Source organism: Homo sapiens, chromosome 12 (genome assembly GCF_000001405.40).
Source record: "Homo sapiens chromosome 12, GRCh38.p14 Primary Assembly".
Classification (NCBI taxonomy): Eukaryota; Metazoa; Chordata; class Mammalia; order Primates; family Hominidae; genus Homo; species Homo sapiens.
Window position 1 is genome coordinate 128685787 of NC_000012.12, and position 23536 is coordinate 128709322.

General features: G+C 47.0%; 1 protein-coding gene across 3 annotated transcripts in view, besides 2 other annotated features; it reads left to right on the forward strand.

Annotated features, from left to right (window-relative positions):
* The window catches only part of TMEM132C (transmembrane protein 132C), a 440742-nt gene extending 418617 nt beyond the window's left edge, over positions 1-22125 (forward strand). For 2 of the 3 annotated variants that reach the window (NM_001136103.3, NM_001387058.1), the window contains exons 6-9: positions 8043-8248; positions 10044-10317; positions 11438-11629; positions 19304-22125. In NM_001136103.3, coding sequence (NP_001129575.2) covers positions 8043-8248; positions 10044-10317; positions 11438-11629; positions 19304-20509 — 1878 coding nt within the window. In that variant the 3' untranslated portion in view covers positions 20510-22125. The other variant, XM_047429886.1, reaches the window with a different exon arrangement.
* Positions 22212-22713: an enhancer, noted in NCBI's record as "H3K27ac hESC enhancer chr12:129192543-129193044 (GRCh37/hg19 assembly coordinates)". NCBI's record gives its function as "activates a minimal SCP1, AML or CMV promoter by ChIP-STARR-seq in naive H9 embryonic stem cells {active_cell/tissue: H9 hESC(naive)}" and the evidence as "EXISTENCE:reporter gene assay evidence [ECO:0000049][PMID:30033119]".
* Positions 22714-23213: an enhancer, noted in NCBI's record as "H3K27ac hESC enhancer chr12:129193045-129193544 (GRCh37/hg19 assembly coordinates)". NCBI's record gives its function as "activates a minimal SCP1, AML or CMV promoter by ChIP-STARR-seq in naive H9 embryonic stem cells {active_cell/tissue: H9 hESC(naive)}" and the evidence as "EXISTENCE:reporter gene assay evidence [ECO:0000049][PMID:30033119]".

Genomic DNA, 23536 nt, shown 5'->3' on the forward strand with positions numbered 1-23536 from the left:
AGCTGTGTGATCACGGGCAAGGTACATCACCTGTCCATGCCTTGGTTTTCTCATTTGCAATATGGATATGATAAATATAATAGTGCCCTCCTGTGTTTATGGTGTGGACTCAGAGAGATGACCCATGTGAGCCTCTTAGAATGGTGCCTGGATAACTGTGGCCAGTCAACGAATGTTTGCTGTTGTTATAAAGTAAGCAATCACTGATAAAAGTCCATCTCTTCCTGTGTGTGCATGCATGTGTGTGTGTATTCGCGCGTGTGTGCATGTGTGTGTGTGCATGCGTGTGTGCGCATGTGTGTTGTGTGCGCATGTGTGTGCATGTGTGTGTGCATGTATGTGTGCATGTGTGTGCATATGTGTGTATGTGTGTGATAGGTGGGTAGTGTTGGCGGCACTGGGTGCGCAGTTACCCCTGAGTTTTCCCTGAGCATAGGGAGTGTTCAGTGACCCAGATACCTGAGCACCTTTCCCTGCCAAGGCTACACGTGGTGGTTACCTTGGCAACATTCTACCCCGTTGATGCTGAGACCAGCTCTGGCCATTTAATCCTCTATAGATTTGGGAGGCAAAGGAGGGAGAATTGCTTAAGCCCATTAGTTGGACCAACCTGGGAAACATAGCAAGACCCCATCTCTTAAAACAAATGCTTTTTTAATTACTGGGCATGGTGGTGTGTGCCTGTAGTCCCAGCCACTTGGAAGCCTGAGAAAAGAGGATTGCTTGAGCCCAGGACTTTGAAGTTGTAGTGAGCTATGATTGCACTAATGCACTCCAGCCTGGACAACAGAGCAAGACCCTGTCTCTGTTGAAAAACACAACAACACTGTGTAGGCCAAATGTGATGGGAGGCCACCAGTTTGCAAGCTCTGATTCATTCATTCATTCTTCAACACGTACTTATTGAGCATCCACTGTGTGTCAGGTGTTAGGTCCCAGGTATACAACAGTAAACAAAACAGACAAAAATCTCCGCCATCCTAGAGTTTAGGTTCTCCTGAGGGAGGACACATAAAGCGAGCAGGTAAAATCTACAGTGCATCAGGTGACAGTAAGCAATCTAGAGAGAGGAAGCAAGGAAGAGGGAAGGGAGGTTCGGGGGAGTTGCCATTTAAAATGGAAATGTCAGGTTGGACATGGTAGCTCACACCTGTAATCCCAGCAATTTAGGAGGCCAAGGTGGGTGGATTACTTGAGGCCAAGGGTTTGAGACCAGCCTGGCCAACACGGTGAAACCTCATCTTTACTAAAAAAACAGTACAAAAATTAGGCGGGCATGGTAGTGCATGCCTGTAGTCCCAGCTACCCGGGAGGCTGAGGCAGGGGAATCACTTAAACCCGAGAGGCAGAGGTTGCAGTGAGCCGAGATGGCGCCATTGCACTCCAGCCTGGGTGACAGAGCAAGACTCTGTCTCAAAAAAAAAAAAAAAAAGAGGAAATGTCAGAGAAAGAATCTTTGAGAAGTTGACATTTGAGCAAGGCAGGGATTCTCAGCCTCGGTGCTATTGACATCTGGGGTGGGTTAATTCTTTGTTGTGGGGGACTGGCCTAGGCACTGTAAGATGTTGAGTACCATCATCCCTACCCTCCATCCCCTAGATACCGGTTGCAAATCTATCCTCCCATTTATCACAATCAAGATGCCCAGAGATGCTCAAATGCCCCCTGGGGGACAAAATTGCCCAGACTGAGATCCACCAGATTAAAGAGCTGAAGGACATGAAGAACAAATCAGGCAGACAAGTAGGGGAGGAGCCTTCAGGCAAAGAGAACAGCACGTGCAAAGGCCCTGTGGCAGGTGTGCACCTGGCATGTTCAGGAACCAGCAGGGAGGCCAGCAGCTGGGTCGAGTGAACAGTGTGAAACCCACAGAAGATGCACAGGGAAGAAAACCAGGCACATCGGAGAGGAACTTGTACATCATTTAAGGATTTTTCCAGAGCTGAAAAGGAGATATTATTTAAACATTTTCCAACAATAGCCCTAGATTCAGAGGCAACTGTTGAGAAGAGGCCCCTGGGCTGCAAGGACTCTGTTTCCAAACAAGCCCACAGTCTGAGGTTCCAGGAAGACATGAGTTTGGAGGATGCAGACCAACCTACTGCCTACCTCTAAGCCCTGGCATGCTTTCCCGGCTCACACTGTTTTCCCTTAACCCTACCCACCCCTTGGATCAGCAATCCTCAAGTTCCAGGTTTGTGTGGACCATCTGTTCCCTGCCTAGACTTGGAAAGAGACAGCCTTTCCGAGTGGCCCCTGGGGGATGGGATGAGGAAACGTGGGCAGAGCCACTTGAGGAGAGGTTCCGGACTACTACTGGCCCCTTGCCACGGGCATGCCACAGTTGCTGGACAGTGGCCTCTCTCAGCACCTGCCTTTCCCCTGCCCACCTGCCCACAGGAATGCCAATGACTCGAACAGCCACATGGCAGGAAGGACGACTTCAGCCAAGGCCATAATCCTAGTATCAACAACATGGCTGAAACGGTCCAGTCAAATCTTGAACCAACTCTCGTTGACATTTCTCACTCTACCTCTCCATCTTGGATGAGCCGCAGCCATGGCGAGCCTCGGTTTTCTCATCTAAAAAATAGGATCATAACTGCTGTCCATAGCTCTAGAAAAACTGAGTATGAAAACAATAGGCAAAGACGGAAAAAATGAGATTAAAAAAAAGCAAAACAAAAAGAAAACAGGATGGACAAATAGACGGCACAAATAATATGGTAGAGAGAAATCCAAGTAAAACATCCACTGTGACTCACATGAACGTGCTAAAAGTTCCAGCAAAAGAACAATGAGTTATAGAGGAAACATTGTAACAGAAAAATCATTCTAAGTGTTTATTTTTACAAAGCGTCTAGAACATCCAGGATACAGAAGGATCCAGCAAGGCTGAAAGTAAAAGAGAGAAAAAGACAAATCAAGCAAATAATAACCAGAAGAAACCTGGTGGCCTAGGAAGAGTAGGCAAAATTGATTTTATGGTAAAAAATAAAGCCTTAAAAACTGTTTTAAAAAAATTGGGTTTCTTTTCTGTTTTCATTTCTTTGCTGGAGTTCAGTGGTGCGATCTCAGCTCACTGTAACCTCTGCCTCCCAGGTTCAAGCGATTCTCCTGCCTCAGCCTCCTGAGTAGCTGGGATTACAGGCATGCACCACCATGTCTGGCTAGTTGTTGTTTTTTTTGTTTTTGTTTTTGTTTTATTTTTAGTAGAGACAGGGTTTCACCATGTTGGCCAGGCTGGTCTCAAACTCCTGATCTCAAGTGATCCGCCCGCCTCAGCCTCCCAAAGTGTTGGGATTACAGACATGAGCCACCGTGCCCAGGCTTCTTTTCTGTTTTCTTTTTTAATTTTTTATTTTATTGTAAATTGACAGATTATAATTGTATATATTTATGCAGTAGTAAGTGATATAATGTATGAATATAATGTATTCTTTATACAGTGATTAAGTCAAGCTAAGCAGCATATTCATCATCTCAAATACTTAACTTTTTGTGGTGAGAACATTCAAAATTTTCTCTCAGCAATTTTGAAATGTACAATATGCTATTATTAACTATATTTATCATATCGTGCAATAAAACACTTGAGCTCAAAGAAAAAGAAAGAAAATGACGTGAAAGCACCTTGCAGATGTGAAGCGGGATTGTCACTGTGTACGAGCATTTCATTCATATTAACGGAGCAGGTCCACAAACTTGGGTGTACAAGAAACGTGCATTTGATTTTCTTGTATCTGAACTTCATTCAAGCACAACCTCAGTGCCCTGAGATGCACAAAAACCATACTAGGAGCTTGATTTTTGAACATAAGTTTGAAATGTTAATTAGAGACCCAAGTGGAGACGTGGAAGAAGCAGGTGGATATCCAGAGACAGGAGTTTAGGAGTTGTCAGCACAGAGATGCACTTCCAAGCATCATAACTAAATGATTACCATCATGAGCGGGATGTAGAGGGTGCAAGGAGTAGATCTCACAGTGGTACCCAGAGCAGCAGCAGCAACAGCATCCGCAGCCGCTGGTTACAAATGCCCGTGTGGGTCCCCACCCCAGACCTGCTGAATCTGAGATGGACACTCAGCAGTCTATGCCAACAGGCCCTCCCTGAGGCTCGCTCAAGTCTGAGAACCAGTTTGGCTAGATGACGATTCAGGCCAGGCTCCCACAGGACATCCGTGGCTGACCGGCAGATGCCTCTGCCTTCCCCTTGGAAAGTGACCCCCAGGCTCTTCCTAGGAGGCAGGTGCAGACTCAGGAAGGTGCCAAAGCCTGAGTGATAACGGAATATGGCAACTGACCATATGTGGCTCCACCAAGCCTCACGTGACCCCACCGTCCCTGGGTCCTTACAGGCAGACACTGATTTCTGGGCCATGGCTACCACGCATTCTGTCCGCATAGTTTAGATATCAGAGTGAGTGGAGTTCAGTGGGCAGTTTTCTCAATGGGCAGCTCATCCACAATGAAAGATGAAAAGCAGTCTGAGAAACAAAGCCGAGGGACTAAAAAGACTCCTGTGGGGTTTTGGTTCCTTTTTGTAGATGAGTGGGCTCACTTTTTCATATGATAGTTCTCACTGCTGGCCACTTAGGAGATGATTAATGCATCCTGAGATGTCCCCAGACATTTATGACACCTTCAGGAATAGCAGTGACGATGGCTCTATCATGCACGGCTACTTCATACCCTTGGCATTGCTCTTAATTATTTATATATTCGGGAGCAGCCAGGTTTCCTCCCACCAGAGCTCAGAAAGGTAATAAATGAGAAAAGTCAATGGTCTGTAAATTACAACATTGACTAAAGAAGTGATTACTGATATAACTCTTGCTCGACTGTTGTGCTAATGCCTTCCCAGATCCAGGACAGTGTTTACCTGCTAATGACAAGCCTGGGATGGCAACTAAAATTGCCTTCCTTCTTTAATCAGCATGTAAACATTTTTAAACCACTCTTGACCATGAATGAGAAGATCCATCCATGTGTTCCCATCCCAACTGCTCCCTGCCACTGTCCCCAACTGCTCCCTGCCACTGTCCCCAGCAGATGGAGCAAATTCTCTCAGCCCAGCCCTCACCAGCTGCCTCTCCAAACAGAAGTGCAAGTTGAAGATGAAAATTGAGCCCAGAGTAGCCATCCATGGTTCCCGGAAGCTGGGGAAAGAGAGGGTGATCAGATTATAAGAGTTCTTTATTCAGCACTGGATGTTATTTGGCCGAGGCCACAGACCCCCCAGAAGGGGACTCTGTTCTTTCCAAGCTACATGATCTAGACAGAAGACAGATAAGCAAATCAGCAATTATAGCTTAGTATGCTAAGTGCTATGTGAGGGGTTTCCGAGTGACTTCATTAACTCAGAAATACTCCACTAAACTGTATGTGTGTGCATTTCTCCAGCAAGAATTAGCTTTATGTGTATTCTCAAAAGAGTGAATGACCCAAGAAAGGTTAGGAAACACTGCCTGAGCACTTTCTAGAAACTTTTGAATTAACTTCTTGTGTTTTTGTAGCTTTTGGCTCCATGTCATCTCAGTCTCTCACTGCATCGTCCATCAACCCCAAGATCCTTGATGACTGTCCTGAAGCAGGCATCCCCATGAAGGGAAGGCCCTGCTCATCCATCCCTCTGTCCATCTGTCTGTGCATCAGTGTGTGCTTCCATCCATCAGTTCATCTGTCTATCCATCTGTCCAGCTATCTACCCATTTATCCACCAGCACTTAACCTGCCCATCCATCCATCTTTCCATCCATCCATCCGTGCATCCACCCATCTGTCTGTCCATCAGTGTGTGCATCTGTCCATCTGTTCAGCTGTCTATCAATCTGTCGACCTATTCACCCATTTATCCACCAGCCATTCACTTGTCCACCCATCCATTCATGTGTCTGTCCATCAGTGTGTCCATCCACCCATCAGTTCATCTATCTATCCAGCTGTCTACCCATTTGTCCACCACCCATTCACCTGTCCACCCATCCATTCATGTGTCTGTCCCTCAGTGTGTGCATGCACCCATCAGTTCTTCTATCTATCCAGCTGTCTACCCATTTGTCCACCACCCATTCACCTGTCCACCCATCCATTCATGTGTCTGTCCATCAGTGTGTCCATCCACCCATCAGTTCATCTATCTATCCAGCTGTCTACCCATTTGTCCACTACCCATTCACCTGTCCACCCATCCATTCATGTGTCTGTCCATCAGTGTGTCCATCCACCCATCAGTTCATCTATCTATCCAGCTGTCTACCCATTTGTCCACCACCCATTCACCTGTCCATCCATCCGTTCATGTGTCTGTCCATCAGTGTGTGCATCCACCCATCAGCTCATCTGTCTATTCATCTACCCAGCTATCTACCCATTTGTCCACCACCCATTCACCTGTCCATCCATCCATCTGTTCATCCTTTCCTCCATCTGTCCATCTGTCTATGCATCAGTGTGTGCATTCATCCATCTGTTCATCTGTCTATCCATCTATCCTTCCATCCATTCATCCATGCAATGTCCATTTCACTGAGCTCCTGCTTCATAAGCAGCTGAGGTAAGGAACCCAGAGGTGAAAAATGAACACAATGTACTTTTTGCCTTCAAAGATTTCTTAGTTTAAGAGGTGATATGGACACATGGGACCAATTTAAATCACATCTGATAAGCTTGGCTATTCAACAGGGGTCATATTGTTTCTCTATAACCCAACTTGGTTTCTATTTTCAGTTTTCAATTCATCGGGGTGGCAGAAACAGAATACCAGTCTAATTTCCAGGGGATTTAACTATTGCCAAGGCCTTGGGGAAGGGCACATCTTGTCTTATAATCTTCTGTTCACAGTTCCTAGGGGACATTTTTTACCGGTCACAGTCCGCCCAGGTTACCTCTTCAATGGCCCCTCATTGTTGTCCACATTGCCCCTTCCTGCCTGCTTGAGAACACAGGTATCATTCTGCTGTTTCCTTGCTACACTGGGAATGCCCTCTGGGCTGGTAGATAGAGTCATATTTGAATGAATAATCTGGGAACACAAAAGCCACATACTTGCAACCTTTATTTTTTTAGTCTGTGTGTTTATTTTTCTTTCTGCTTTGTCTCATCCCTTTCCTGAGACAGCAATCTGCCAGAAAGGGGAAAAGGAAAGGGAGGCGCATAGGGAAAGGGAACATAGGTTGGTAGTCCCTAATGTGATCTGCCATTCACATAACGAACACGTATTATATAAATAATCCCACGGGGTCATAGAAGACCACAGAAGGGGTCTCATAAGGAACCCCTGAGCTGGGGTAGGTCAGGCAAATAGGGATGGGAAGGTGCTCCCAGGCACAGGGACCGGCCTTGCCAAAGCCTGGGGACCGTGAAGAACCTGCATCAGGCCTGCATGTGCATGCAGGGGAGAGACCTCAGAATTAGTGAGAATCATGCTGGGGAGGAAGGCACTACGGGCCCTTTGCATCCTTGGAGGCTGGATGGGGTGGGTTGTGGGTGCAGCTTACTTTCTGAAAAGACATAACTGCCCAGGGTGTGAAAACCTCTGGTGCTCACATCAAATTACTCAGCCCACCCAGATTTCAGCTACAGCTGCAGTTCTGTACAAGTTCAAGTTCACTTTTTGATTGCAGTCTCACCTCAATCTGCTTTCTGTTTTCTGTTCCGGGTGGGGCAAGCCCTCAACCAGTAGGAATAAGAAATGGTAGCTAAAAATATTCCCTCCTCTTACTCCTCAAGTGGACAATTCTAGATACTTTTCATGAAGCCTCTGAAAACCGAGCCCATGGTCCCTGTAACAGCCTAAAAAATGCACCTTCCTATTGGGTTTCCTTCTTTCTCTGTCTTCCTCATCTGCTCCTTCACCCCTGCTCCCTGGGGTCACCTCCCAATTAAACTGAGTGCACCAAATCCTTGTCTCAGGCTCTGCTTTAGGAGAAACCAGAAATAAGCATTTGTGCTTTGCAAGATAATAGGAAAAACAAAAAAAGGATTGTCTCCAAGGCTCCATGAACTTCTCCTCCATCCTTTCTCCCTCTGTCTTTGCAGGTGTCTGAGCGCTGTGACTACATCTTTGTCAATGGCAAAGAGATCAAAGGAAAGATGGATGCGGTGGTGAACTTCACATACCAGTACCTGAGCGCCCCCCTGTGTGTCACCGTGTGGGTGCCCCGGCTGCCCCTGCAGATCGAGGTCTCTGACACGGAGCTCAGCCAGATAAAGGGCTGGAGGGTCCCCATTGTGACCAATAAGAGGTGAGCCTCGGATGGGGAGATGCCCTAGAGCCAAAACAACAACTTTATTTACTGACCTTAACACTAAAGGACCCAATGCTTAAGAGATGCTGGTATTGTCTCAGCAGTTGAATCTCCCCAGGGCTCCCAGATAACCCAGCCAGGCCCAAAAGCTGCTAAACAGCAGGTTTGCCTCAAACCCAGGTTGTCCGCACTCTACACTGGGGCTTATATGAGGCTGTCTCTTGAAAGTGGCTCTCCCAAAATGACACGATGGAGTTAATACATTTTTTTAGCATCTTGGTTACCAGGTAATTTGAAGTTTGGTTTATTTTCTCCAAAAAAAAGTCAGTCCTTTCCTGTGCTTTATGCATATCTATAAGCTTGAAATGTTCTGTGCAGATCAAATTATTGGATAAAATTTAATTGTGTTTCTAGTGGATGCTGGAATCATTATTTGCCAAAAGCTTCTAATTTTTTTGGGATTCCGGACTGTCTGTCTGTCACATGCAAGAGTATGGGGTCTTGTTTTCTCAGCCCTGTGACCCCCGGATTAGCAGACATTAGCTAAGTGAAGGTGTTCCTGAGTTCACAGCTTCCTGCCTGGAATGCTCCACCCCAGACCATCAGGGCTCTTTCCCTGACAGTCCCCCAGGCACCAGGGCCTTTCTCATAAGAGAGAGCATTTCAAGAAGAGTAAGTAGGACAGTGAGATGCGGAATCCATCTCTACAAGGGGAAGCTGAAGGCATTTGGCCCGATGTGGGAGGAAAGCTGTGAATCTACCCAGTCCTTCAGATTAGTCTGTGGTCATGAGTGGCCAAGACAATGAGTTTGTTCCACATCCCTGAGGGGGAAGAATTAAGACTCCCTGGGCTCCAATCCAATCTCTGCCACTAATTAGCTTTGTGAGCATGGGCAAGCTACCTAACCTCTCTGTGCCTTAGTTTCCTCATCTGTTCATGAGAATAATTATGAGTTTGCCTCATAGTGTTATGAGGTTAAAAGAGTTCATACATGTGGAAGCATAAAATGGGACCTGCCACATCTCAAGTGTGTAAGACAGCTCTGTCCAATAGGACTTTCTACAGTGGTGGGATGTTCTAGAACCCCTCTGTCCAATATGGTGGTCACTAGCACAAGTAGCTATGGAGTGCCTGGACTGTAGCCAGTGTGATGAGGTTCAATTTTTTATCTAATTTTTATTTATTTAAATTAACATTAGGGCTGGGTGTGGTAGTTCAGGACTGTAATCCCAGCACTTTGGGAGGCCAAGGTGGGAGAATCACTTGAGGCCATGAGTTCAAGACCAGCCTGGGCAACATAGCAAGACCCCATCTCTACAGAATTTTTTTTTTTTACTTAGCCAAGCATGATAGTCCATGCCTGTATTCCCAGCTATTCAGGAGGCTGAAGGAGGAGGATCACTTAAGCCCAGGAGTTCAAGGCTGCATTGAGCTAGGATGGACCACTGCACTTTAGCCTGGACAACAGAGCAAGACCCTGTCTCTAAAAAGATAATAATAATTCATTAATTAATAAAAATTAAAATAGCCACATGTGTCCAATGCCTACTTATGAGACAGTGCAGACTTGGTACATATTAGCCCTTGTCTTTTATTTTTCAATAAATGTATTTGAGAAAGAGATGCCCATCACTTAGTGTTGCCTAGAGATAGGCTTGGTGCCCCTTGCATGGTCCTGGCGCTCGTGTCTTCAATGTGGTCTCCTTGAGGTTGAGGTGAGCGCCTGCCTGTCTCAAGAACGTCTTAGACTCCTCTCCCTGGATCTGAGAGCTCTTTGTCCCTTCCCACAAGGCCCACTCGTGAGAGCGAGGATGAGGACGAGGAGGAGCGGCGGGGCCGGGGCTGCGCACTGCAATACCAGCACGCCACCGTGCGGGTCCTCACCCAGTTTGTGTCTGAGGGCGCCGGTCCATGGGGCCAGCCGAACTACCTGCTTAGTCCTAACTGGCAGTTCGACATCACTCACCTGGTGGCAGACTTCATGAAGCTGGAGGAACCTCACGTGGCCACCCTCCAGGACAGCCGGGTCCTGGTTGGGCGAGAGGTTGGGATGACGACCATCCAGGTAGGAAGCTGGGAGTCTCTGTGTCCCCAGCACTGGGCATGTGTGCAGTGTTGAGGGAGAGTCAATGGGTGGGCAGATCACTGTGGCCGATTCCCCAACCCATGTGTATCATGGGAACACAGGAAGATGAGCCCAGGCCAGATCTTGAGTCCAGCTCCTTCCAAACAGAATGGAGAAGGTGGCAGCTGCACCCTCTTAGCTCCCCGTGTGACCTCATTCTCAATGGCTGCCTCCACCATTCCCACCACCTCCCAGCACCCCCATCCTACCTCTGATTCTCCTTCTTAGTCCACACTTTTCTAACTTTTTCCCCCTATGCCTTCTTAGAAATAGCCATGGTCTTCTCTATGTACCACTTCTACCAGTGGCCCAGGGAAAAAGCATGGATTCTTCTCATTTCTTCCTTCTTTCAGTCATTCTGTCTTCCTGCCATTTACTTATTCAACAAACTCTCTTTGAAATCCTGCTCCTTCTTTTTCACTCAAGGAAGTGTATAGAATGGTAAAATTTCATGATGGGGCATGAACAGCCTTTTCCTCAATCCCTCAAGTCCCACCCTACTGAATCCACCTTTCTGGAATGTCATTCAGGATCCTTACACCATATGTGGAAATGGTTAGCACATTCCCGTCATTTCCCCTGGACATCTCAAGCCCAACATTTGGCTTACAAGATGAGGCAGAAAGCAATGTTTTGGCAGAGGATACATTGTGGTGGTGGTGGGAGGAGTGAACTATTTATAATTCACTTTTATAAATTTATAATTCAATTCTTCATGAGTCTGTTCAACAGGATCACCATGTACAGTTAACCAGGTCGTGCATTGTACAAGCATACTTCATCTAAATAGGAGGGGTCATTCCCTTTTAAAGACAGAATGGATTTTAATATCTATTCCAATTTTTTAACAGGTAGAATTAAGGTGTCCTGGGGAAAGGGTAACTTTGATTCTCACGAAGGCATGGGATGGGCCAGCATATAGAGTGAAGTAGATATGTAACTCCTTTGCCCTGTATTCTGGACCTCAGGCCTGTTGGGATGGAAGAAATATTACTGGTAAAGGGGATAACATCTGGAAACAGGTGTGATGGATTTTCCTTGTGTCCTGCCAATCCCACAGGTGTTGTCTCCACTGTCTGACTCCATCCTGGCAGAGAAGACAATAACCGTGCTAGATGACAAAGTATCGGTGACAGACTTGGCCATCCAGCTCGTGGCTGGGCTGTCTGTCGCCCTTTACCCCAACGCAGAAAACAGCAAGGCCGTAACAGCTGTGGTCACAGCTGAGGAGGTGCTGCGGACCCCCAAACAGGTAGGGGGCCAAATGCCAGAGGTTCAGAGGGAGCAGGGTCAGCCACTGTGCCTGCTTCAGCAAAGGGGCAGGGTGGAGTGAGAAATGGGGGCAGGTTAGCAGAACCATGTTCCACAATGGAAGCCATGTCATTGCAGACAAAGTGCTCATGTTACCCACATAGCTTTTGAGCAACACAGACCATTTACCAGCCTCCTCACCAAGTCTCTTGGCTGCCGTTCTTACCCCTGCACTCCCCTCTCTTCTCAAGAGGAGAGCAAGCACTTAAAACCATAAATCACATCATGCCTTTTACTGGCTTAAAATGCTCCAATGACTTCCCATTGCACTTAGAAAGAGACCATATTCCTTTGACAGCCCACATGGCCCCACACAACATAGCCCCTGGCTATATCTCTGACTTTATCTTGTGCAGCCCTCAGTCTCTCTCATCCTATTTGAGGCACACACTCCCCTTGCACTTCTTTAGGGGTTTTGCAATTGCTGTTGCTTTTACCTGAGACACACCACCCTCACCGCTGAGCATGGCTCTTTCTCATTTTCATACCCAGTTATGATACCCTCTTCTCATAAATGCCTTTGCTCACAGCGAATGGGTCTGAATCCGCCCCATTTCTTACCACATAAAGCATGTTTCTCCTCCATGGGATATAAGCTCTACAAGAGAAGCCCCCTGTTCATCGCTCTATCCCCAGTGACCATCACAGGGCCAGCATATTGTAGGTGCTCAATAAATGTTGGTTGAGTGACTGAATGACTCTTAGAATTGACCATCACAGGGCCAGCATATAGTAGGTGCTCAATAAATGTTGGTTGAGTGACTGAATGACTCTTAGAATTGGGCTGGAAGACAGGAAATTAGAAAGAGAGCAGGGAGAGTTATCCACGTAACACAGCCAGGATGGGCTCGTCTGACCCTAACAACCTGCATATGGGTGTTTACCTTGTCTGCAGGACTTTCTGCTTCTGATGCCATCATTAGAACAATACTTATGAGAAGAGTACAAAGTTAGGAGCCAAAAGGCCCAGATGGTATCACAGCTGTGTCCGTTACCACCTATGTAACCTCAGGCAAGACGCCTCACCCGTGTCTCAATCCTTAATGAGAAAGTAACAACACCTGTGAAGAGTCCATTTGCAAATTAAATTAGGCTTAACGATGTTGACTGCTAAAAACAGTGGCTGGCACATGCCAGCCAGTGTTAGCTCTTTTCCTGGGAATGGCTGCTGTTATTATGATCACTATTTTAGTGAAAGCACACAGAGCCTTGGATGCTCCATCAGAGCAGACAGTCTTGACTCAGAACACTCTGCGTCAAACCCAGTTTCCTCTGGTGACTTGCGGCCACAATAGGCAGGCGGTCTGGGGAGGAAGCTCAGATTAAATCCACATCCCACTATGGACTGAGCAATGCTGGAGGAGGTGTCATGTGGCTGGGACAGGCGACAGGGCCCAGGGGTTAGTAGCAGGCGTTAGGATCCCCTGACATGCACTAGCAGGAACACGATAGTGCTACAAAGCAGAGGCATGATGATGAGAACAGAGAGCAGTGATGGTTAAGGGAGCAGGCATGATGACAAAGTCTAGGGGCTTGTGTTCTTCTAGGGGGGATTGGAACGTTCCAGCCATAGTGCAGGATTTCAGTGCAGTTCAAGGACTGCAAACTCAAATGCCTACAGGGGCTGGGCTGGTGTTATAAGCAAGCAGTGCAGACTGTGCAAAATCCATGTGGCTGCTTTGTCCAGTAGTGGGGTCTATGAAGAGCTAGAGTGATGATGCTCAGTGCTCAGAGATGTGCCCATTATCTGCTGCTATGTAACGACGGCCACACACTTAGTAGCTGAAAATGGCACGCACTTATTGGCTCACAGTGCGGTGGGTGGGCTCAGCTGGGTTCATGCCCAGAGTATCAGAAGGCTGAAATCACAGTGTTGGTTGCCTGAGTTCTTACCAGGATGCTCTGAGGAAGAATCTGCTTCTAGAATTATTTGGGTGGTGGCAGAATCCAGATCTTTGCAGTTATAGGACTGAGGTTGCCAATTCTTGGCAGGTTACTGGCTGGAATCCTCTCTTAGTTCCACAAGTCCACCTGCATTCCTTCTCAGTCCCCACCCTACCTTCATCGGCTTCAACACTAGGAACAATGCATGGAGTCTTTCTCATGCTTCCAGTCTCTCCACCTTCCCCTTCTGTCACCAGCTAGAGAAATCGCTCAGCTTTTAAGGACTCATGTGATTTCACTGGACTCACCCAGATAATCCAGGAAGATCACTCTATCACCTGTGCCATGTAACAATATAACATAATCATGACAGCAGTCACTCATCCCATGCCCATGTTCTGGGAACTGGCGCAGAACATCTTTGGTGGGCCATTCCAGGAATTCTGCCTAATGAAGAGAGAGTTGCTACCTGATTTTGCCCCAGAGTGTCAGCAGGAGGGACCTGGGGTGCATGCAGGTCCTCATCCAGCCCACAGCACTGGCTTCTTCAAGTCTTCTTTGGGGGCAGATGGGCCAGGAAATCAACATGGTGTTTTCTGGTTTACAAAGAGCAGAGTAATACTCTCACATTTGGGATTAGAAGAAAAAAGAGCAGAGGAAAGTGGGAGAGAGAAAGCTGAAAGCATGAAGCTATTTGCTGAGAATGGATAATGAATTAGGGTGGACGATTGGCATTGCAACCCCCTTGGCATGGGGTATGGCCGGCCGCTCCCCATCTCCTGTCGCCCATCTGTCTTCATCAGCTGACAGTAATTGGTGTCCCCTAGCACTGACTTAGGGGGATTTGTGGATGTAGTTCATCTGATTTGCAGACACGACTCTTGAAAGGATAGAGCTCTAAATCATTTCTGGGCATGTGTTATTTTAAGTCATTCAGAATTTCTCATCTTTGGGGAAATGCGCTGGCTTCTCCTGATGAAACACTACATTCCAGCCTCTCTGTAATGAGCTTATGGTAGAAGTTAGTCTCAATCATGCAGCAGGGCTGATGGAGATGGATCTTGGCAAGTCAACGGTGTTCTGAGGCTTTAATTCCGATTGTCTGCTGTTCAGGGGCTTTTTTATGTTAACTTCTTTCCCCATCTAGTTTGTGAAGAAAAATTATTCAAGAGGAAATGTCAGCCACGATGAACTTGCACACTGTTCAGTCTTTTATCTCACCCCTTAGAGTGTAGAAGGCTGGCACCTTGTTCATGATATTTTCAACTTTGAAATAGAAAATCTGAATGGTTTTTACACCTACAAATAGAGGGTAGTAGCCTGCATGTTCTCCCAAGCCTTGTTTGCTCTAAAGAAAGTAGGATCGAAAAATGAAAGGAGAAATCACTTGGTATTTGTGCATGAGGTTGAGGCATTAGAAGGACTTATTGGATTGTGTGATTCATCAGCTGATATGGACAGAGGAGACGAGGGTGAGCACCAACATCGCTGAGCCATCTCTTCTGTCTTAGTTTTGGTCTGCTCAGAAGCTGAGCCTGAGACAAGGATTCAGGTGCAAGTAGTTTATTCAGGTGGTGAAGACAATACCAGTAGAGAAGTCGGGGGTGATGGAAGGAAGAGAAATGCAACCAGTAGAGTGTATTACCAACTCAGCCGCCGCCAAGGGCAGCCGGAGCTCCTGTCTGCTGGGCGACTGTATGCCGGTCTAGAAAGGCCAGAAGAGTTACTGCACTTGAGGGGCAAGGGATCTGGGATAAATATAACAACTTCCATGAGTCCTTCATTGAGGGCTGCCCACAGCATTTATTAACTCCTTGGCACATCTTGCTGTAGGCACAACCACATGGATTCCAGAAGCCAGAGAGTGACCTTGGGCAAAAAATAAGTTAAAAAAAAAAAAAAGCAAAGTTGATCATTGAAAGTTGAGCTAGCAGGAGCTGAATGGGCAGCCACCCAAAGAGAACTCCACACCCTCCTAAAACTTCCTACACAGGCTCACCCCTCAGAGCCAGCTGGTGTTGGCCAGGGCTTACCAACACAAGTGATATGACCCAATCCAACTCAACCTGCCTTCACACACAGCAGAATGTATCAGTTCATGTCCAAGCATTTGGATCTTCAGCTACAGCTACATGTAGATGCTCAAACGATGTCATCAGAATTCTTTTTTTAATTGCTAGCATTCTTCCTTGGTCCTGCGGGATGTAGAGTCATCATTGCTGTGAACACTGGCTGCTCCCAGGCTACTCCAATTTTTCCTTCTGGAATTCCTACCAAACAAGCGTTGGACATTCTCATTCTCTCCTTTATGTCTGTTCACCTGCCCTTCACAGTTTTATTTCTTGATATGCCTGTGGTTCTATTTGGGGTAACGTGGGTGGCTTTGTCTCCCACTGCAGTAATTCTCTCCTTGAACATGTCTCATCTGCTGTTCGAACCACCCATTGAGTCACTGATTTCAGTGACTGTGTTTTTCATTTCTAGAAATTCTACGTGGCTCTTTGCACCCCTTCCTGCTCTGCTTCCATTCGCTTCTTCTTCTTTTTTTTTTTTTTTTTTGAGACAGAGTCTTGCTCTGTCACCCCAGCTGGAGTGCAGTGGTGTGATCTTGGCTCACTGCAACCTCTTCCTCCCAGGTTCAAGCAATTCTCCTGCCTCAGCCTCCTGAGTAGCTAGGACTACAGGCACCCACCACCATGCTCTGCTAATTTTTGTATTTTTTGTAGAGATGGGGTTTCCTCATGTTGGCCAGGCTGGTCTTGAACTCCTGACCTCAGGTGATCCGCCCACCTCGGCCTCCCAAAGTGCTGGGATTACAGGCATAAGCCACCACATCTGGCCCCCATTTGCTGTTATTGAGACAATTTCAACTCCTTTTAATGTCTCTTTAATTTTTTAATTAAATTTTTAATTTCTTTTTAATTTTATTTCATAGACTATTTTTGTTGGTTCGTTTTATGTTATTTCATAAATAACATTTATTATGAAATTTATTTATTATGAAATGTATTATTATGAAATGTTATTATTTCATAAATAACATTATTTATTGTTTTATTTCATAGACTGTTGTTTTTTGTTGGTTTCCTTTAAGTTATAGCCTTTGGAGTCTTCTATGATCTCACATATCAGTCTGCTCACCTTCCTGTGTAAATGTTTAACACAACCACTCCCGGTGCAGCCTTGCCACCTACAGGTTGTAACTTTTCTTTCTTTGTATCATGAGCACCTCTTGAGCCCTGGTTGCTCGGCTTTGTTTTGTTCTGAAGGAGGTTGTATTTGCATTTGCACAGGTCCAACTTCAAGTGAGTTTCTTTTCTCCCAATTCGCATACCACAGAGGTAGTTATCCCACCCAAGTGTGGGCTTTTGGTTTTGAGTGGCGACATCTCCATCCAGTGCTCAGAGCGCACACAAGCTTTGCTGCTGTATCTCTGGCTCAGCAGGTAGGATTTTCCCATGCCCCGTCCATGGAGTGGGTGCTGCTACCTCCCTGGGCTGCAATGACAGTGTCCGGGATGGATGGGGACAAAGGTCCAGGAAGGCCACGAGGTCAGACCTGGTTTGCTGTGAAAAAGGCAGGGAGGAAAGGAGGCAGCTACTTGACTTTTTCAGCAGAGGGTGAGTCATCATGGTCTTTGTGGGGCTGATAAAATGGGCTCTGGCAGTGGTTGTTCTAGGGGGTCCCTAGCACAGTGGTCAAGAGCTCAGCTCTAAAGCCACAGCAGTTCCAGCCCTGATCCTGCCTCTTCCTAACGATATGACTGGACATATTTCTTTTTTTTATTTTTTTAACTTTTATTTTCACTTCAGGGGTACCTGTGCAGGTTTGTCATGTAGCTACACTTGTGTCATGGGGGTTGGTTGTACAGATTATTTCATGACCCAGGTATTAAGCCTAGTACCCATTAGTTATTATTCTTGATCCTCTCCCTGGTCCCACCCTCCACCCTCCAATAGGCCCCAGTGTGTGCTGTTCCCCTCTATCTGTCCATGTGTTCTCATCATTTAGCTCCCACTTAGAAGTGAGAACATGTAGTGTTGGGTTTTCTGTTTCTGTGTCAGTTTGCTAAGAATAATGGCCTCTAGCTCCATCTGGTCCCTGCAAAGGATGGGATCTTGTTCTTTTTATGGCTGCATAGTATTCCACGGTGTGTGTGTACCACATTTTCTTTATCCAGTTTATCATTAATGGTCTGGAGAGTTTTTCCTAGATGAATGGAGGAGGCTGAAATATGCAATTCTAAGCACAAAGTGGAGAGCCTGTATCCACTGGGCACTTGCTGTGGATCAGGTGCCATTTAGGTTGACTTTGTGTCTTCGCTATTGTGACTCCATGTCTTTGCTATTGTGAATAGTGCTGCGATGAACATATGCGTGCATGTGAGCACAGTTCTTAACCTCTCTTTGGGCAGGAAGCATAACCCAACCTACTTTGTGGAAGAGGAGAAAATGCGTTCTGTAATAACTGCGAACAACACCTGACCCACAGCGAGTGCCCAGTGGATATGGACTGTCTGTTTTATGATTAGGATTGCACATTTCACCCTCCTCTATTCATGGGAGTTCCCACTCTTGGAAGCAGAATAGAAGTACCCATGGCTAAGTCAAGAATAAGGCCTTCTGTGGGATTATGTTTGCTGTGGGCACACAAAGGGGAGAGGATGTCATTATTGCCCTGGGGAGGAGGCGAGACAGCAGGAAACCTTGTGCTCATGAGAATCTGCCAGTCACATAGGCATGGGTGTGAGTGGCATTTCTAGGCCAGTAGCTTCCCCTTTTTTTGGAATATTATTCAGCCATAAAAAGAATGAAATATTGCCATTTGCAGCAACATGGATGATCCTGGAAGACATTACTTTGAGTAAAATAAGCCAGGCACATAAAGTCAATTTTTTTTTACCAGTCCCCACAATGGCAAATAGTTTTTACATAGCTGTTGGGTCACTGACAGAAGTATAGTGAGTCTGCAAAATAAACTCAGCCCCTTCACACTGGCCCTTTGCTTCCTCTTTCACTCTGCTACCCATGCAGAGCAAGGGCAGCACAATTGAACCGGGCCCACCAGCCAATGCCATGTACTGTGTCCCACACATCACTGCCGCCCAACTACAGCCAAGCAAAGCATCTGCAATGGCTCAACAGGGTCAACCTTAAAGGGCAAAATGCTCTTGTTTTCTTGTTTCTCAGGCAAAGCTTAATTCACTGGGGGCAGTGCAGGGAGAAGAGGGGAGGTTCCTTTCTGATGTCATTGGTTCTGACAGTGTTTCCTGCCCATCAACCTTTGTCATCAGGCTGGATACAGACAACAGCTGTATCCATTCATCATACTTAGGCCACTAATCACAGAGTGTGTGACAAAATGACCAGGGCCTGCCCTAGAAGCCAGTCATTGTCTGTGAACATGCACCGGCTGACTGATTCAAGCAATACCTGTGTGGATAAAGCCACCCGGAGCCTCATCTCACTTAGGGATTTTTGTTTTGCCATTTGTTTGTTCTGGGTAAGGATTATGAGGGCACTGTTAGTCACATCCCCATTTGTTCTTGTTTAAATTAAGGTGGTTTCTCTGCCCCTGATAGAAAACCTGTATGATTTCTCCCCAGATGCATGAGCTACTGGGTCTGGATTTGAGGTCCTGCTCCCTGTTTCATTGGGCGTCCTCCTAGGAGGGGGTTTCTAAGGGAAAAGGCATCCCCCAGGTGGTCTTCTAACTGCCTGTGTCCCTGCAGGAGGCTGTATTCAGCACGTGGCTGCAGTTCAGTGATGGCTCTGTGACGCCCCTGGACATCTACGACACCAAGGACTTCTCCCTGGCAGCCACCTCCCAGGACGAGGCTGTCGTGTCAGTCCCCCAGCCCCGCTCTCCCAGGTGGCCCGTTGTGGTGGCCGAAGGGGAAGGCCAGGGCCCACTGATCCGAGTGGACATGACGATCGCCGAGGCCTGCCAGAAATCTAAACGCAAGAGCATCCTGGCTGTGGGCGTCGGCAACGTCAGGGTCAAGTTCGGACAGAACGATGCTGACTCCAGCCCCGGCGGGGACTATGAGGAAGATGAGATCAAGAACCACGCCAGCGACCGCCGGCAGAAGGGCCAGCACCATGAGCGCACAGGCCAAGATGGGCACCTCTATGGCAGCTCTCCCGTGGAGCGTGAGGAAGGGGCTCTCCGAAGAGCCACTACCACGGCCAGGTCCCTGCTGGACAACAAAGTGGTGAAGAACAGTCGGGCAGACGGGGGCAGGCTGGCAGGAGAGGGGCAGCTGCAGAACATCCCCATTGACTTCACCAACTTCCCTGCCCACGTGGACCTCCCCAAGGCCGGGAGTGGGCTGGAGGAAAACGACCTGGTGCAGACTCCGCGGGGCCTGAGTGATCTGGAGATAGGGATGTACGCCCTCCTGGGGGTGTTCTGCCTGGCCATCCTCGTCTTCCTGATCAACTGCGCCACCTTTGCCCTGAAGTACAGGCACAAGCAAGTGCCCCTGGAAGGTCAGGCCTCCATGACCCACTCTCACGACTGGGTGTGGCTTGGCAATGAGGCCGAACTCCTGGAGAGCATGGGGGATGCGCCGCCGCCCCAGGACGAGCACACCACCATCATAGACCGCGGACCGGGGGCCTGCGAGGAGAGCAACCATCTCCTGCTCAATGGTGGCTCCCACAAGCACGTGCAGAGCCAGATTCACAGGTCAGCCGACTCCGGGGGGCGGCAGGGCAGAGAACAGAAGCAGGACCCCCTGCACTCGCCCACCTCCAAGAGGAAGAAGGTGAAATTTACCACCTTTACCACCATCCCCCCGGACGACAGCTGCCCCACGGTGAACTCCATCGTCAGCAGCAATGATGAGGACATCAAATGGGTGTGTCAAGACGTGGCTGTGGGTGCCCCCAAGGAACTTAGAAACTATCTGGAGAAACTCAAAGATAAGGCTTAGGCCCCTCTAGCCAAAGGGCCCTGCCCAGATGCCTTCCTTGTACTGGAAACTGGCCCAAGTGGGGCAGAAGGCGTTGTCAGTGGGGTTAAGAAGGGACGGTCCCAGGGTCCATGCTAGACCAGTTGGAAAGTTTTGAAGTCAGGAAAAGACGTTTTTGTATCAAGGGATTTTTAGCAGTTAATGGTGGTGGATTTTTAAAGGTCAGGGGAATAAAGTCTGGGGCATGGGGAGTGCAGACCAAGTTACTGAACTGCACAGGCAAAATTAGGAAGGTTATTTTATGAGTCAAAACATACTACAGACAAGCTACCAAAAATTATTTGTTAAAAAATGCAACAAGACAAATAAAAAGAGAAATAATCATCTGTTTATATTTCTAATAAAGGAGCAAAATATAAAAATAGGACCTGCTAAGAGACATTTTCCATTCTAATTCACGATTCACTTTTCCAAGGACAGCCTTCAACTGTCACCACACAGCTGGGGGGGAGTCATTTCTTAACAAGGGATGCCTCTTGGGATAGAACTAGGGAGTTTTAAATCTTTACTTGATCATCTTTTATTTTCTTTTCCACTTTTTCCTTTTTTCTCTCTCTCTGTGTCCTAGACTTCCATTGCATTTATATTTAATGTTTATTTCTGAGAATCAAGCAGTATATTTTTCCTAAATGAAACATAAATTATATTCCTATTCATTAGATAGGTTCCTAGGAACAATGCCAATTAATCCATTGTTTAAGTAGTAACTTGAATGTTTTTCTATATCCCTCCAGCTTTGTTGATAGTGGCGGGTTTTGTACAATTGGAGGGAGCCCTCAGAGCCTTCTGGGGGAGGAGAGGAACTGTCCTTAATCCATCACCACTACCATAGGGCAAAGCCAGCAGGTGTGGCCCTGTGAGGGGCTGTACAGACGGGATGTGGCCAGGAGAACAGAGCCCCACCTGGACCACCTGACCCCTCGGGATTCCACCCCTGTCATCGTGGGGATGTTCCTATATGGGAGAAAGTTGGGTTAAATCAAAAAAGAGGCCACGCCCAGGTGTAATCAGAGCCAACCTGGTGGGCTTGGTCTATCACAAGACATAACTGATGCTGAACATGAACAAAGATAAAAACTGTTTGGAGGGTTTTTGAGTTGTTTTTCTTATGTTGTTGGGTGGGGTATACCAGCATAAACTCTAAAGATAAAATCTATGTTAGATTGTCAATCAACTGTGTTTTTGAACAGCATAATTGTGTAGCAGCACATTGCAAAAATGCATTCATCCAAAGCGACACATGTGGCAACGTAGACCACGCCAGTGAAATAAGCCCCTTCGTGATCACCTGACTCCAGTTCTCCGTGTGCTCCATTGGCTGCGGCTGCAGGAGGAAGATGCCTGACAGCCCTCATGCTCTCCGCAGGGGGGCGCTCACAAAGATGCCAGGGGTGTTTATTGTGTTTATTTTTTTAATTACTAAAATCAGTAGCTAAGAAAGGGTCCTTGAAGCCTCCTAACCTGGGTTGGACCTTTGAAAAATATATTTGTAGCACATATTATAGATGGAAAGAAGAAGATATTTATTTATACCTGTGATGCCAATTGTCATTAAAAGGCTTTTCATGGCTTGACAAGTCAGTGTCTTGTGGGGTGTGTTTTGTTTCACTTAATTGCTATTTCCCACCCCAAAATATACAACCCCAGAAGAATTAAACCCTTAGGCTAAAGGGAAGACAATATATTTGCCAATCTTTAAAAAAAAAAACTTTTTCCCTTTTGGTTTCTTGACTGATCCACAGTGATTCCTAATACGGAGGGCTTTCATTCATAGATCCACCGTCATCCACACCAGTGCTCAAAGTCAGCAAGCAGGAGGGCGTTCATTCATAGACTCACCATCATCCACACCAGTCCTCAAAGTCAGCAAGCAGGAGGGCGTTCATTCATACACTCACCATCATCCACACCAGTGCTCAAAGTCAGCAAGCAGGAGGGCGTTCATTCATACACTCACCATCATCCACACCAGTGCTCAAAGTCAGCAAGCAGGAGGGCGTTCATTCATAGACTCACCATCATCCACACCAGTGCTCAAACTCAGCAAGCAGGAGGGCGTTCATTCATACACTCACCATCATCCACACCAGTGCTCAAAGTCAGCAAGCAGGAGGGCGTTCATTCATAGACTCACCATCATCCACACCAGTGCTCAAAGTCAGCAAGCAGGAGGGCGTTCATTCATAGACTCACCATCATCCACACCAGTGCTCAAAGTCAGCAAGCAGGAGGGCGTTCATTCATACACTCACCATCATCCACACCAGTGCTCAAAGTCAGCAAGCAGGAGGGCGTTCATTCATACACTCACCATCATCCACACCAGTGCCCAAAGTTAGAGAGCAGGAGGGCCTTCATTCATAGACCCACCATCTTCCACACCAGCGTTCAGAGTCAGTGAGGAGAAGGGTGTTCATTCATAGATCCACCGTCATCCACACCAGTGCTCAAAGTCAGCAAGCAGGAGGGCTTTCATTCATAAGATCCACCGTCATCCACACCAGTATCCAAAATCAATGAGCAGGAGGGTGTTCATTCACTGATCCACCGTCATCCGCACCAGTACCCAAAATCAGTGAGCAGGAGAGCTTGATGACACACAGATTGCCAGGCCCTGTCGCCAGAGGTTCTGATTTAATAGGACAAAGGCAGGGCTCCCGAATTTGCCTTTTTCACAACTTCCAGGGCTATGCCAGATGCCAACATTGCCAGTCCGAGCCCCAGCTTTGCAAACTACCAATGTCCTTAACAGAAGAAGAGAAACCCTAGGAGCAGGTGAGAAACTGTGAAATCTCTCCTCTGGGGAAAAAGTTTACTTTTGCCTTGACAGTTTTGCATTTATTGTTATTGTTGTTTGTTTGAGGTTTGGGTGAGATTGTTATTATTGATTGGTTGGGGAAAGAAAATTTTTTGGTAGAAGCTAAGGTATTTTTTTAAAATAATAACTTTATCGAGACATCATTCACATGCCATAAAACTGATCCACTT